General features: G+C 41.5%; 1 long non-coding RNA gene across 1 annotated transcript, besides 4 other annotated features; it reads right to left on the bottom strand.

Annotated features, from left to right (window-relative positions):
* Positions 1,160-1,299: an enhancer, noted in NCBI's record as "active region_2506". NCBI's record gives its function as "activates an Ori minimal core promoter by ATAC-STARR-seq in GM12878 lymphoblastoid cells {active_cell/tissue: GM12878}" and the evidence as "EXISTENCE:reporter gene assay evidence [ECO:0000049][PMID:35858748]".
* Positions 1,309-2,046: an enhancer, noted in NCBI's record as "H3K27ac hESC enhancer chr1:212731832-212732569 (GRCh37/hg19 assembly coordinates)". NCBI's record gives its function as "activates a minimal SCP1, AML or CMV promoter by ChIP-STARR-seq in primed H9 embryonic stem cells {active_cell/tissue: H9 hESC(primed)}" and the evidence as "EXISTENCE:reporter gene assay evidence [ECO:0000049][PMID:30033119]".
* Positions 1,470-1,739: a silencer, noted in NCBI's record as "silent region_1796". NCBI's record gives its function as "represses an Ori minimal core promoter by ATAC-STARR-seq in GM12878 lymphoblastoid cells {active_cell/tissue: GM12878}" and the evidence as "EXISTENCE:reporter gene assay evidence [ECO:0000049][PMID:35858748]".
* Positions 1,800-1,929: an enhancer, noted in NCBI's record as "active region_2505". NCBI's record gives its function as "activates an Ori minimal core promoter by ATAC-STARR-seq in GM12878 lymphoblastoid cells {active_cell/tissue: GM12878}" and the evidence as "EXISTENCE:reporter gene assay evidence [ECO:0000049][PMID:35858748]".
* On the bottom strand, positions 4,470-14,842 carry LINC01740 (long intergenic non-protein coding RNA 1740). The gene is made up of 3 exons (NR_125985.1): positions 14,771-14,842; positions 6,088-6,124; positions 4,470-4,693 (listed from the first exon to the last, which is right to left on the bottom strand). It is a non-coding gene; the product is annotated as a long intergenic non-protein coding RNA 1740 (long non-coding RNA).
* Between the last annotated feature and the right edge of the window lie 932 nt (positions 14,843-15,774).

Here is a 15,774-nt window from a genome sequence, read left to right as displayed (position 1 = left end):
AGTGATTGTCAGATGTAACAGTGACAGTGGCTCACTCACTTTGCTCCATTTCCAGAACACGGTCACCATCATTTTGCTCAAAATTTTGAGAAGTTGTTGTTGTTTCTAATTTGTTTTTGGCACAAGCATGCTGTTCCGATAGGAAACTTTCTGTTGTTTTATGCTCGAGCGGGGACGATGAAAGAGGAGATAACCAAGTGTTTCTTCTGCACTTGGGCAGATCTGGTCGCTGGTAGGCCAGGTGAGGACTCTTTAAGTAGAAATGGCCTCTCGAGTTTCCAGAAAGGAAACACAGAGTCAAGGGTGGGTCTGGCAGGGCTGGGACGAAGGGGAGCCAAGTGGGGTGCCTAAGGTGTAAAACTGAAGGCGGCGCTCATGGTCAGGCCCTGCAAGCACAGGGTGGGCGCCTGATGCGATGCCTCCTCATACACCTTCTCATGGCTGGGCCCTGAGGCCGACCACCTCCATCTCTGGAGATCTGGTCTGGCGCCGGTTACCTGCTGAAAGGCACTGAGATTGTGTTCCAAGTGGAAAAGTTGGTTCCAGCGGACTCACATGCATAGAATAAGACACACATTTCACAGCCCACCTTCATCACCAAAACCATGGACTTCGGAGTCTGATGACCTGGGACTGACTTCCAGCTCGCCATTCATTAGCTGTGTGACCCAGGGAAACGCTTAATCGTGTGCCTCGATTTCCGTCCTCATCAGTAAAATGGGGAGGACTCAGAGAAGAGGACTAAACGACAAGGGGATGGAGGATCATGAAAACACCTGGCACAGAGCAAACCTCAGTAAATTGTGAGTTCCCTGTGAGGCCCTGATGTTGTTTACGATCACGTGTTGGCCAGGGATCCTGGCCTCTGGAAACTTCCATTGGCAACATTAGCACAGTAGGAGGGTTTGGAGATCAGTCCACGAATTTACCACCCAGCGAAATTAACTGGTTTCTAGTCACACCACTAATGACAGTTTAGACACAGTCAAAACGGTGATAAATGGACCTAGTTGGCCCAAGCTGATGGATTCATAAATAAATATTTAAACCACAGCCTTTCTCTGACAGCAGAGGCATCAGAGAGCAGAGACGCTATAAGCAAAGAGTTAAGGAGTCAAGGGCCATAGAAAACTCTTCCTGACACTTGGTTCAGGCTCAGAGGGCAACTGAGATGTCCATCTGGTTAACCAAAGAGGGCTTCCAGGAGGAGGTTCTGGGACTTCAAAGAGCCTCCAACTAGGCTCAGTTGTTCTTCCGTTTTCATCATCATCTCAACAGTCAACTCTCTTAAAGTATAACACGGTACAAGATGGGCTCTCAGTCTGCAGGTGAGTGAGTGGAGTCGTTTCCCCAGATGTTTCACGATCCCAGGCCTGGTCCCTTTAAGGCATCGAAACTCAGAACATTCTATCAGCTGCCTCGGCCTCCCCGTGGCGCGCTTACGTCACCCTTCGGGGAAGCGGCTGACGTCAGCGCGTTCTTGGCGAGTGGGGCGGGGCCGGTGACTCACCCGGACCGCGCCCCTTGCTCCCCGCCCCCGCCGGGCCGCGCGCACGTGAGCGCGCGCTGCGCGGGTTGCTAATTTTAGCTCCGGCGGCTTCCCTGGGGTCCCGTGAGGTGAAGGGGAGTGGAGGGGACGAGGCGGGCAAGGAGCGTGGCTCTCCTCGTTCCTTCCTGCCCCGCCGTGGGTTTTCCTCGAGGACCGGGCCCGGCCCGAGGGGTGGGGGCCCGCGGGCGACTCGAGGTGCTGGAACGCGGGCGCTTACCGAGGCGAGAACCTAGGGGGTCTCCCCGCGTGGAAACCCCGCCCCTCCCTCGGCCTTGGACACAGTCGGCGCTCAATAAATGAATCGAAGTTTCTTCCTGGACGGCGACCCTGGGCTTTCGGGAGAAAGCCAGAGGGGCAGGGTTCTGGAAGGTTCCCTGGCGGCTGGGGTGCGGTGCGGGCTGAAATCCGAGCAGGAGCTGGGCGCGGCCCTCGGGGACCGACTATGGGGGACGGCGCCGCGGGAGTGGGGCAAGTGCGGGCCTGGACCCTTGGGGCCACCGCGTCAGCAGTCGGCGGGGCCGTGGGAGGGACGGTGCCCGCCCGCTGTGAAGGGCGGTGGCCCTTCTAGGGTCAGGCCAAGCGCAGAGGCCTGAAGGTCACCGGGTGAGGAGCCAGCGCGGGTGCCTCAGAAGCCAAGCGCCCCGTCCCGAGCCCTGCGCGAACCAGTATGACCTTCCAGGAACCAGATGAGAGCTGCGTTTTCAAGAAGCAGTGCCAGACACCTTGGGAAATCGACACTCTCCTGTCCTTGGGTGGGGGTGGGGGTCCTGGAAAGAAGCTCCGTCAGCGTAAAGTGAACTCTTAGCTTTGACTTTGCAGAGGGATCCGTTGTGTCACAGTGACCCGCATTCCTGTCATTGGTGTGGTGTGTTTCACAGCCATTGCCTCCCTAGGTAGATTGTAAAACGGCGTTCGTAGAGCCTTTGACCTCATAATATTATGTTGGAAATTACACGATAGTAAACATAATGATAAATGGGGAATGTTAAATGGTAGTATGGGAACATTTTCTAATGGTTGCATCCTTAAAATTTTCTGTTTCAAGTTTTTAAAGGCTATAGCCTTAAAAAAAGCTGACTGTAGGAAAATGGTGGAAAGAGTCGTGGAATAAAGGTAGCTTTGGGGATTATGACGTGAATAAATGACAGAAATTAGTATGTGTCATTTTCCTTTGTTTTCCAAAAATACCACAATGTCCTTTGTAAATTGGAAGTTTTTCAGATGTGCATGTGGAAGCTGCAAGATTTTTAGGGCTTTATATCCATCTTAAAACTGGTTTTAAAGGATTGGCAATTACAATCTAATACTGGTATTTGTAGCAAATACATCCAGAGGTAGGCATACTGGTTTTTTAATATTGTTATATGGCAACAAAGGTCTCTTTGTCCTAATTTGTAGGACAAAGTTGCAACCACATTTTCCTCAATGTAATGCTTATGGGGGGAGGGTCTTAAATTGATTTGAAAGCAGGTTGTATTAGGATTCTCCAGAGAAACAGTACCAATAGGATATACAGGCATACCTCATTTTATTGTGTCTCACTTTATTGCACTTTGCAGATAATGTGTTATTTACAAATTGGTACCGTTGGTACCGTTTTTTCCAACAGCATGTGCTCACTTTATGTCTGTCAGCATTTTTTTAGCAAGAAAATATGTTTAAATGAAGGTGTGTACTTTTTTTAAAGTCATAATGCTGTTGCACACTTAAGACTACAGTGTAGTGTAAACATAACATATATGCACTGAGAAACCAACAAATTTGTGTGGATCCCTTTACTGTGATATTTACTTTACTGCAGTGGTCTTGAACCAAACCTGCAATATCTCTGAGGCATGCCTGTGTGTGCACATATATGATTTATTATAAGGAATTGACTTATGCAGTGATGGAGGCTGGCAAGTCCCAAGATCTGCAAGGTGAGTAAGCAAGCTTGAGACCTAGGAGAGCTGATGGTGTAGTTCTAGTCCAAGTCCAAAGGCAGGAAAAAGCCCATGTCACAGTTCAAAAGTAGGAAGAATTCACTCACTTTGGGGAGGGTCAAACTTTTCATTCTATTCAGGCCTTTAAATGATTGGATAAAGCCCACCTACATTATAGAAGGCACTCTGCTTTCGTCTGTCAATTTAAATGTTAGTCTCATCCAAAACACCCTTACAAAGATAACCCCAGAATAATGTTTGACCAAAATATCTGGGCACCCCATAATCCAGTCAAGTTTGACACAGAATTAACCGTCACACTGACCTATCTGATTTCTAAAGATCTTGGCCTTAAAATTGTGACTTTGGTCTCTAAGGCAATTATGAGGGTGAGTTCTTTGTAAATGGTTTCTCGGATGTATTTGCTTCTATTGAAACCTTAGTAGAGAGGACCCGTCATTTAATTACCTCTTCCTATGTTCTTGATAGTCTTTATTTTTAAAATCTAGTTCAGTTGAATATAATAATTTCTTTCACCTTTTTTAGAAGCTGAGCTACAGTTATGTTTTAGGAAGCTAGTTGATCTATCCAGTAATCTATCAAGTAATGTTGATCTGTCAAGCAAGTTAATCTATCAAGTAATGAAGCTAGCTGGTATTAAATAATTCTTTGTTTTTAACTATTAAATACAGGGCTTTGGGTATGTAATATAAGCAGCATTATGGTAATATTCTGGAAGTTTCAATTATTGCAATGATTGAGAGCATTAGAGTGTTATTTTCTGTTTGAGATATTTTTTAAGATAGTGTTGCTTCAGGAACATTGTAGTCATAATATTTTGCAGTCTAAATCCTTATTTTAAAAAATCTCATAACTTTTTATATCCTATTTAAAAGTATTGATATTGATATATTGGATTGGATTATTAGCTTTATAAATAAATACAATCACTGGACCTCTGTCAGTCCCAAAAACAAAACTTGTTTTGCACCTAAATTGTTTATTTTATTTTATTTTATTTTTAGCTGAGTAGTTAAGATTTCAGGCCTTTTTAAAAAGTCATGTGTTTAGGTATAATTTACATGCAGTAAAATTCACCCTTTTAGGTATAAAGTTCTGGAATTTTGACAAACATAGTCATGTAATCATTACCACAATCAAGACAAAACATTTCCATCACCCCAGGAAGTTCCCTTGTGCTCCTTTGCAGTCAATCCCATTCCTGAAAATAAAATTTTAAATAAAATTAATAAAACTTTCTAAAAACATGTCTGATTCATGCCACTGTCTGTCACCATCATAAATGGACTTACTTGGTCTCAATATGGAATTCACAAGTTATCACATCAGTCGAATAATTATGTTCTTGCTGATTTAGTCAAAGTGAGATCATTCAGTGCTCAATGGATGGCTGCATACTAACATTTAAGACTTGAGAGGATACAGCACAGCAGGGGACTATCATGATGACTGTTAGATAGGATTTGGTATTTAGGATAACACCAAAAAATGAAGCGTATTCCTTAACAGGAGCCCTGAGGGACCAAATTGATCCAAATCAAACAAGTCAAAGCTTAGGTAAGTAATATAGGCAGCTTAACAGTATTTGAGTCCATTTGGCCATAATCCTTATTCAAAGTGTGATGGAAATTAAGGACCACAGCTTGCTATAGAATGATCTGATTTAAATAAGTATCCAATTTTGTCATTAACTTGATAACACAAGCCTTAGTAACCTGGAGACCCACTAGAAGAACATAGATTAGAAAACCCTGGAAAAGCCAAGCTTGCCATCCACCACTCAGGATTCCTGCAAACCAACTGTTAGCTGCTGCCATGGACACAGCATGTGTTCCTTTCCCTTAAGAAATTTCCTTCATGTATTTGATGGCAGTGTCTAAAGAAACAGCAGTTTCACCTTTGTTTTTAGTTAAGCTTCCTCTAGTAACAAAATTAGGGGACAGACAGGCACAATATTCAGTTTTGTCAATACTATATACAAGCCTCCAATTTGGGCGAAAAGAAGCTCTAAGTCCACATGATGTTCCAGTAAATGTTTTTTCTTAAAACATATGCTGTCTGGGCGCAGTGGCTCATGCCTGTAATCCCAGCATTTTGGGAGGCCAAGGCGGGTGGATCACGAGGTCAGGACTTCAAGACCAGCCTGGCCGAAATGATGAAACCCCGTCTCTACTAAAAATACAAAAATTAGCCGGGCGTGATGGCACGCGCCTGTAATCCCAGCTAGTCGGGAGGCTGAGGCAGAGAATTGCTTAAACCCAGGAGGCAGAGGTTGCAGTGAGCCGAGATTGCCCCACTGTACTCCAGCCTGGGTGACTCCATCTCAGAAAAAAAAAAAAAAAGTATATATGCCATCATCCACCTTTCTCAAAGGATGACTTCTGCCCGTTTGAACCTCTGGGAGTTCTGGTTAGCCACAAAGTCCAGGATTTTTCCCCAATTTATGGATTGGTTTCAAATTCCATATGACTGATACACTACTACTGCCAAGAGTGAGCCCTCAAGAACCCCATTGGAATCATTCCTCAGTGGAAACTAGCTTATCTTCATAAGCCTAACAGTTGCTCTGGTTTTTTGCTAGAGCATAAGCCTTACCTAAAGCCATCCATAGATTATGGTTCCATGGATTTTCCTGCAAGGAAAAGGAAGTAATTAGGACATAAGGAAACAGGGGAGAAAGAAAAAAGATAGACCACAGTAAACAATTGCCAGCTGAGAATAACAAGACTTCAAATGTTCATAGTTAAAGATCTGATGAGAGTTCATTACGATGATAACACAATTGAGAAGGGAATTTGGTTATTTCTGTTGCATGCAACATTTTAAGATAGTAACCAGAATTATGACTGATAATGTTATTCCAGAACTATCAAATTTCTATGAATTTCACACAATTTCTGAAATATGTTAATAACACATTCATACAAATATAATCCAAAGAAGGTTTAGCCTTACTTCTTATTTGGCAATGCTTCCCGTATAATTTAATATACCAAGTAAGCCCAATTAGCTTAATATTTCTCTTTTCATAAGGAGAAAATCAACTTACAAAAGGCAGATTAATGGGAGAAAAAGCATACAAACTTATTAGCATGCATAGGGGAACTATCATAGAGTGATTACGCCACCATGCAATGGGACACAGATGCTTGTATATACCCTTCTTCTTAGGAGAAAGGGAGATGGGGAAGTGTGGATGATTTTAGGGTAGTAGTAAATGAATTTTGGGGAATTCAGTAGGCGTGAGGAACATACAATGGCCTGAGACAAAGTCTGTTGGGCCCGCAGAGCAGACAATGGTTTGTGACAAAAGTCTGTCCAAATTTGTTGACAAACTTCAGTTTTTCTTCCTGTGATATGAGTTCAGTTACTGAAAACTCAGGGAAGGGACCACAGGTAATTGTTTTCTTCTTTGGTGGACCCAAACTTTAGGCAGATCAGGGAACTTCAGAGAACAGATTGGCCTTGTGCTCTGGGAGAGAGTGCGGAGAGGGGTGGGGCATGCCAGAGAGACCTTGAGAGGCTTCATCTGAAGTTCAGCATGTTAAAGTGCCATACTTTAGGGTGTTGGTTTCTGAACCCCAGCACCATTGAAGGAGTTCAGGAAATGCCACCCCAAAATATGTATATTGGTATATATATTTTTTTGTATATTGATTACTTTGAGCTAAAGGCACTTGAAAAATTTCAAAATGGAGAGGTTCTCTGAGTTTCCCTCCATATGCCTAAAGACACATCCTGCAAGATGAAGTCAATTGTTACCAAACCTCTGATGATTAACTCTTATCACAGGAGAGGAGGCCAGAAGTCCACCACACCCAGACCTTGTCACAAACCATCATCTATTCATCTAAGGACTCATTCATCTTTCCCCAAAACCATTGACTCTGAAGATCTTTCTTTTCTTTACCCGCTGGTCATTTTACCCATTCCGGTAGTGGACTTGAGTCAAGGGACCCTTGCCCTTTTCTTTCTTTCTTTCTTTCTTTTGAAACTGTTTTGCTCTTGTCACCCAGGCTGGAGTGCAATGGCATGATCTTGGCTCACTGCAACCTCCGCCTCCCAGGTTCAAGGGATTCTCCTGCCTCAGCCTTCCAAACAGCTGGGATTACAGGCACCTGCCTCAGCCTTCCAAACAGCTGGGATTACAGGCACCTGCCACCATGCCTGGCTAACTTTTGTATTTTTAGTATAGACAGGGTTTCGCCATTTGGCCAGGCTGGTCTCGAACTCCTGAACTCAAGTCATCCACCTATCTCCGCCTCCCAGAGTGCTGGGATTATAGGCATGAGCCACTGGGGCCTGGTCCTTGATTGGCCCTTTTCTTGATTGGCCTGCCTGATTATTGCCCTATATGATTATTAGCTAGGCTGCTCATTGTAATCTCCGTCTTTTGGCTTTTATAATAAAATTTCTCTACACTGGGGCAAACAGAGCAGACTGAGTTTGGGGCTCCCTCTCTGCCAACCTTGGTTTGGCAGTGGCTGTCCTCCTCTACCTAAGGCCACCCTACCCACACAACTATAGCTCTCTCTGGCTTCTAAGAAGAGCTCTTTCCCCTGGCCTTTTCAGACCTGGGGGTGGAAAGGCTTCTTGCTCTAAGGATTCCCTGGCTGTTCCACCATTTATAGTCAGTTTTCCTTAACCCTAGCCTCACTTTTGTAAACAGTCACTTAATTGAATCATTTAAATCACACTTGAGGAGTTTGCTCTTGTAAGCAGGGCCTAAAGCAATCCTTTCCCGTCCATGTCTATCATTCCACAGAAAAAGTTTCATTAGGGACCATGGAGCAATAAAAAGCACTTTCATGTTTGGTTTGGTTTGATTTTGAAACGATTAGGTTGGTGCAAAAGTAATTGCCAAAGTAATTTTGCCATTGAGAGTAATGGCAAAAACCGCAATTACTTTTGCACCAACCTAATAATAAATGTCTCAATTCACTAGTTGGGAAGCTAAAAGTAGTGCTTGCTTTGGCAGCACATATAGTAAAATTGGAACGATACAGAGAAGGATGACAGGCAAATTGGAGAAAACTAAAAGTAAAAAGTATAAAATGTAGCAAATGTGAAAATAGAGAATACTTCAAGTCTTTACTGTGGCCATGTAAGTGGGGAAGAGAGAAAGGAGGCAAAGCAAATATGAAGGGGAAAGTGACACGTCCATAAAGGTAAAGAGAGAGGAAAGGGGACAACAACAACCCCGAGACAGAAGCACTGAGGCTTTGGAGTGTTAATTAAATGATTTAACTGTACTCTGCTCTCATCACTCTTTGAAATGCCAGTTCTTTATCTGCTTTTTACCCTCAAAATCTTCAGAAACTACCTTAAATAGGATACCACACCTGTCCCTGGTAGAGAAGAATTGCCTTTTAGAATGCAGATGCAGGCGGCTGGAACTGGCCTGTGGGCTCAAGGGGAATAATTACTCTCTGATTTTTCTTTTGGGTAAATGCAGGTTTTCATATATTGGATTTTCTCAGAGTGAGAAAAGAAAGAGTGACAATGGAATGAAGAAAAATGAAACAAGATGGAGAAATTGAGGACGATAATTGTTTATTGAACCAATGATGAATGAATGAGTAAATTGTGAGGGCAAAACACCAAAAAATAGTAACATCATCCTACAACCTACAATATACGCCGTTTTGTCATATGTCACTCATAATAAAAAGAGAAAAGGAACGGGTGTGGTGGCTCACACCTGTAATCCCAGCATTTTGGGAGGCTGAGGTGGGAGACTCTCTTAAGGCTAGGAGTTCAAGGCCAGCCTGGGCAAAATAGCGAGACCCTGGCTCTACAAAAAAAAAAAAAAGTCCGGGCGAGATGGCTCATGCCTGTAATCCCAGCACTTTGGGAGGCTGAGGCAGGCAGATCACTTGAGGTCAAGAGTTCAAGACCAGCCTGGGCAACATGGCAAAGCCCTGTCTCTACTAAAAATACAAAAATTAGCTGGGCATGGTGATGCATGCTTGTAATCCCAGCTACTTGGGAGGCCAAGGTGGGAGGATCCCTTGAACCTGGGAGGCAGAGGTTGCAGTGAGCCAAGATGGTGCCACTACAATCCAGCCTGGGCAAGGGAGAGAGATTTCATCTAAAAAAAAAAATTAGCTTGTATGGTGGGCATGCGACTATAGTACTAGCCACTTGGAAGGCTGAGGCAGGAGGATCATTTGAGCCCAATTCAAGCTACAGTGAGCTATGGTGGCAAAATTGCACTCCAGCCTGGGCAACAGAGTGAGACCCTCTCTGCAAAAATAAAAAGTAAAAATAAAAACAGGAAAAGATTAAGGAAGTTATACAAACAACACAGAGAAAATCCATATCTAAATGTTTGAAAAAAGTAAGTAAGAATGCAAACGTTTACTTTTATAGAGTGTTAATTGGATATATTACATAGTAATAAATCTCAGTAAACAGTGGCTCAAAGTCATATGCCTGCTCTGATTTTCTAAAGTTGCTAAGTAATTTGACCAGTACTATGGTATTAGAGCAGCTAAATTATGAACATAATGAAACAAAGAGTGCCACTTTTTCTTGCCCAATCCACACAGAAAAGAGAATTTTCTATGTATGCCCAGCCAAACTGTCAAGAGTGAGGGTAGAATAAATAAAATATTAAATAAGCCAGGTGTCAAAAAAATTGCTTCTTTTTTGCCCTTTCTCAGGAAGCTATGGAGGGGGTATTCTATCAAATGAAGGAATAAATTAAGAAAGAGGAAGGCAAGGGATGCTGGAACCAGGGGCTTCAACTAGTGCTACCAAAGAACAGAGAATAATCAAAAATACTCATCACATGGAAGATTGAAATAAAAATTTGGAGATAGGGGAAAGAAAAAAAATAGGTAAGAGAATGGAAGCTAGAGATAAGAGGAAAAGAAATGCATACTCTTAGCCTATACAGTTTCAAAAACTGGATGGCAAATCTGTCTCTCAGGTTTCCTAACATCGAAAGCCAAGGAGAAAATATGCCCAGTTGCAAGTTGCATAATATCCTTTACAGTTGATTCCCAAAAGACCTCCTCTGGATCTTATGAAAAAGATCCTTTGCTCTTAACCTCATCCCTACAGTCAACTATTGTGTTTCATTTTACTGTTTCTTGTAGCATACCTTATGGCCCCCAAAGCATTGTTAAGTAAAGGCAATTCTATAAGGACTCAATAGGGATCTCAGAGGTGGACCAAGGGCACGTGAATAGCTGGTCAGGTATTCTGAATTGGCATCCCATAGACTTCACGGGAGGCTAGGAGGAGGATGGCTGTGGCAGGTTAGGCTCTCTAGTATCCTGAACAATTTCACTCTTGCCCCAAACCAGCACCCTCTAAGCAAAACAAAGCGCTCTTAACTGCACTTATCCTCAGGGCAGTTTAGCAGCTGTCTGGTTACTGGAGCATGTTCATTTGGGTTCTCATGCCTCACCCCGCCCCACCCTATCCCACCCCAAATGGCTCACCAGAGTATACCTTCCTACTTTATTTTCTGCTTCCTTCCTTCCTTCCTTCTTCTTCCTTCCTCCCTTCCTTCCTCCCTCCCTCCCTTCCTCCCTTCCTCCCTCCCTCCCTCTCTCCCTCTCTCTCTCTCTCTCTCTCTCTCTCTCTGTCTCTCTTTCTCTCTTTCTTTCTGATGGAGTATAACTCTGTCAACCAGGCTGGAGTGCAGTGGCGTGATTGTGGCTCAATGCCACCTCCGCCTCCCGGGTTCAAGAGACTCTCCTGCCTCAGCCTCCCAAGCAGCTGGGATTATAGGTGTGCACCATCACACCTGGCTAATTTTTGTATTTTTAGTAGAGATGGGATTTCACCATGTAGGCCAGGCTGGTCTCGAGCTCCTGACCTCAAGTGATCCTCTCACCTCGGCCTCCCAAAGTGCTGTGATTACAGGTGTGAGCCACCACTCCCAGCCACCTTCCTACTTTAATTTCTAAGAGAAATTTTGGTAAATAAAATTTACTAATGTGTTACAGTTCCAATAATGTTTTACTACTTTTAGACTAGATTACCTGGCCCTCCCATTAATCCAATTCTGAACACAATCTAAAGGGAACGCTTTCTGATTATCCTTCTTCCACAGGTAACACTCAGCCTATCATGCCCTCAAGCAATCTGCCATAGCATTTATTTCCTGCAACCAGGCTTCTATTAATAAGTGACATTGCATTTAGTTAAACGCAATAAAGTTTGGACAACTAATCAGAATTTTCAGTTACTGATCGCATATCATCTCCCTAAAAAATGATGAGCATTCACTGTACAGCTTTGAAAAAGTCAACCCCTTATCTTTTCATTTGATATACTTTCCATTAATAGTTTTTGAAAAACCAAGTATAATTTTTCTGATCTATTCAGTGTTGGACATTGTTTAACCTATAGTTCACTAGTTATTAAATAAGCGTTGGAAAGAAATATATTCTTTCTTTGCCATTGAAAATATTATTGGCCAGGTGCGGTGGCTCACTCCTGTAATCCCTGCACTTTGGGAGGCCAAGGTGGGCGGATCACCTGAGCTCAGGAGTTCGAGACCAGCCTGACCAACATGGAGAAACCCCATCTCTTCTAAAAATACAAAATTAGCCAGGTGTGGTGGTGCATGCCTGTTAATACCAGCTACTGAAGAGGCTGAGGCAGGAGAATCGCTTGAACCCGGGAGGTGGAGGTTGCTTTGAGCCGAGATCGAGCCATTGCACTCCAGCCTGGGCAACAAGAGCGAAACTCCATCTCAAAAAAAAAAAAAAAGAAAAAAAGAAAAAGAAAATGTGATTATATTATTTCTTTGCCATTGAAAGTAATGGCAAAAACTGCAATTACCTCTGCATCAACTTAATACTTTTAAAATAGCTTCAGAACTAATCTCTAGGAAGATAAAATTGTGTACCATTAGCGCTTTTATGCTTAGTATGTTATGTTTAGTCACAGAAAGATAACTAAGTCTCTCTCACATCCTAAAATTAAAAACCTTAAAAGATTTCTGTTTGTACAGAATGCTGTACAAAAGATTTTTGTACAGATTTCTCTTTGCCAGGAAGCTTATTAATTATCTTTCAGCGTAACAAACTACCTGCCTGCCAATAACAGTCCACTTATATTACTGTGTTAGAATTTATATTGTCTTTAATAAATGCTTGATATCAAAGACTAGAAAATGCTATGGTAGTCCAATAGCATTCATGGTAACATTTTTATTCTGACCTGAAATAAATTACCAGGTATTAAATGAAACGAAGACTCAGGAAAAATATTTCTTCACAGTTAAATCTACATTTAGCATTGTTATAAAAATAAATGTGACCAGTTCTTTTATTTATCATAACTACTATTAATTTTTAGCTCTCTTTAAAAACAGAAAAATGTTTTTCTCAAACTTGATAAGATTTATAAACAATGATCCATGAAGTACTAACTGATGTGTTCCTGTAAATAGAACCATCATAAATTTAGAAATAATTTTTATAAGTGAGAATATATCACAAATGTTGAAGTTTTTTCTTCATAAAGTTTTTTTTTTCCAAATTTAACAGACTATTTTGACTTTGGAAAAATCTATACAATAAGAATATAATTTTCCTTTGTTTGAACCTTGTATTTTCTGCATCCAGAAGCTCTCAAATTCTGTGCTATGTAAAAAATACCACTTAATAGAGAAACTAGTTAACTTGTATGTAAATCTATAGCCATAGGATATTAATAGTGAAAAACGGACTATTGCCTTCCACAATTCCATCAATATTCAAAAGTATATACTAACGCTTCAATTTAACTGACTAAAGACTCTTGCATATATTTATGTCATCCAATTATGGGGAGAACCAATATTACTCCTTGTTTGACTGACTTAGTTTCTCAGTATTAAATTCATTTTATGGATGGAATAGAAACAAAATATTCTTAAACTTTTTAGAAACTGGAAATTCGAAGAATTGCTAAGTACAATGTTTAAAAAGGTTTTGCTTTCTAAAAATCAACTGTCCGGTTAGCTATACTTTTAGCATATGACACCAAATCTTCTTGTTGCCCGACTTACTTATATCTTCCTCTAGACTGTGAGCTCCCTGAGTGGGAAATTATGTCTTTTCATATTTAAATACTTAGTGCTTAAGAAGCAGAAAGCACTCAGTAAATTCTTGTTGAGTGAATTTGACTAGCAAATCACTACAAAAGGTGAATTATAATCAGCAGTATTTTGAAATGAATCAAATAAGGCTCTCTACTCTTATCCTTTCTCCTACAATCTCTATTATATAACCAATAGGCATGGTCTGTTTTTGTCTATATGGTGTGTGTGTGTGTGTGTGTGTGTGTGTGTGTGTGTGTGTGTGTGATGTGAATGTTTCAATGCACCCTTATAGTCTTGGAGCAGAAAGATTTAAGGGACAGCCATGATTTTCACCAAAAGAAGTGTTTTCACATAATTTAGATGTCCATTAAACACTTTCCCTGGTAACGATACATGATTCCGATTCCTTTGTGTTAGATGTGCAATTTCATACAATTAGAAGAGAGAAAAGATGAACATACTGTCATTTTTTTAAAGAGAGTGTTGCCATGAGATGGAGTAAACATCAGATGACTGGAAATAAATGCTCTATTGGGGGGAGGTTCAGTAGTACAACCCAGGCACTGACTGGGGAGATCTGGATTCTAGTCCCACGCTCCTCTGACTTGCTGTGAGAGCTAGACTAGCCTCTGGGTGCCTGTTTTTTTCTTCATCTGTAAAATGAAGATGCTTCATGACCTTTAAGATTCTTTCTAATTCTATGCTTTGAATAACTTCTAAATAACAGAATACTTGAATTGCCAAAATTTAGGCCTTAAGCCTTTTTTTTTCTTTGCTCTATTGTGCCTTCAGTAAATCATTATGATGCAAACGTGAGTTTTTCAGAATTTCCATTTTTCAGATGGGAGTCTGAGCCGCCTGACTTTGAGTCATGTGATAGATTGCCTAACCTCATCTTAGGCAGCTAGCTCCTTTGGAGGAGGAAAACAAGCTAGACTCCTCAGGACAAAAGAGCTTATTCTACATCACTGTGATGCTGGCTCAATCTGTTATTCACTAATATTTTTAGATCAAATTGAGTAATTTCACTGTTCAGATTTTCCTCCTGCCTGTCTTATATGCAAACAAACCAATATTTTTTTGGAACAAATGCAATGTAAAAATCACTGTTCATGCTTCCTGGTATTCCAAACTCCTTCCATAATTCCTTTTACCCTCCCCAAGTAGCTCCCAACTTTTGTTCCCTTTCCAATATTAGAGCATTCTCCTGGATTCTTGATGTTTACCTACCTCTTTTCTACCCTGAACGCTGGATCTCCACTCCTTCCATCAGCATTTTAAAGGCTTTGAGATACAGACCCCCTAGATAAAACACAAGGATATCAAACATTGCAAAATGACATAGCTACTTTTAAAACTTTCTTCTCTAAAGGAAAATTAAAAACTTGTCTTCTTTGAGCAGTATATACTACCTGATTTATAACTATCATCTAACACCATTACATATCATACTTTAATTTTTAAGATAAACAATAAATACAAGTCAGAATTATATTAGAAACAAAAAGGATTAAAGGAGTACCAAATTGAAAGCAAAGATTTGGTCTTGGTACAGGCTCTGCCACTTGAACCAAGCAATCTCTAAGAGCCATCCCCTCAGAAAGTCTGTGATTCTGTGACTTACTACATCTGTGTCTACCCATGGATGATAGAATCCTCCAGAATCACAATACAAATCCAGGTGACTCTTCTGTTAAAGAAAGGGAGGAAGGAAACTAATGTTTTTGAGAGCAGAATGCACCCCATATCTGGTGTTGATCATGATACAGAATTATCTCATTTATGTGTTTGTTTTGTCTTGTTTTTTGTGATGTCCCACAAGCTGCAGTGCAGTGGCACGATCTTGGCTCACTGCAACCCCTGCCTCCTGGATTCAAGCGATTCTCCTGCCTCAGCCTCCCATGTAGCTGGAATTACAGGTACATGCCACCACGCCCGGCTAATTTTTGTATTTTTAGTGGAGGTGGGGTTTCGCCGTGTTGATCAGGCTGGTCTTGAACGCCTGACCTCAAGTGATCTGCCCTCCTTGGTCTCCCAAAGTGCTGGGATTACAGGTGTGAGCCACTGCACCCGGCCTCATTAGTTTTTTAAGAACTTTAGCAGATAAGCCTGTTTCCTGCGTGATGTCATAGAAATATCTTCAAGATGAATTGTTTTTACAAATGGTAAGATACATATGAGCATCCATGGCATAATCTCATTAATGAAAAAAAAAGTAGGTCTTGCATATGCCT

This window comes from Homo sapiens, chromosome 1 (assembly GCF_000001405.40).
Source record: "Homo sapiens chromosome 1, GRCh38.p14 Primary Assembly".
NCBI lineage: Eukaryota > Metazoa > Chordata > Mammalia > Primates > Hominidae > Homo > Homo sapiens.
Note: the sequence above shows the minus strand (reverse complement) of the source record. Positions and strands in the feature narration are given on the sequence as shown.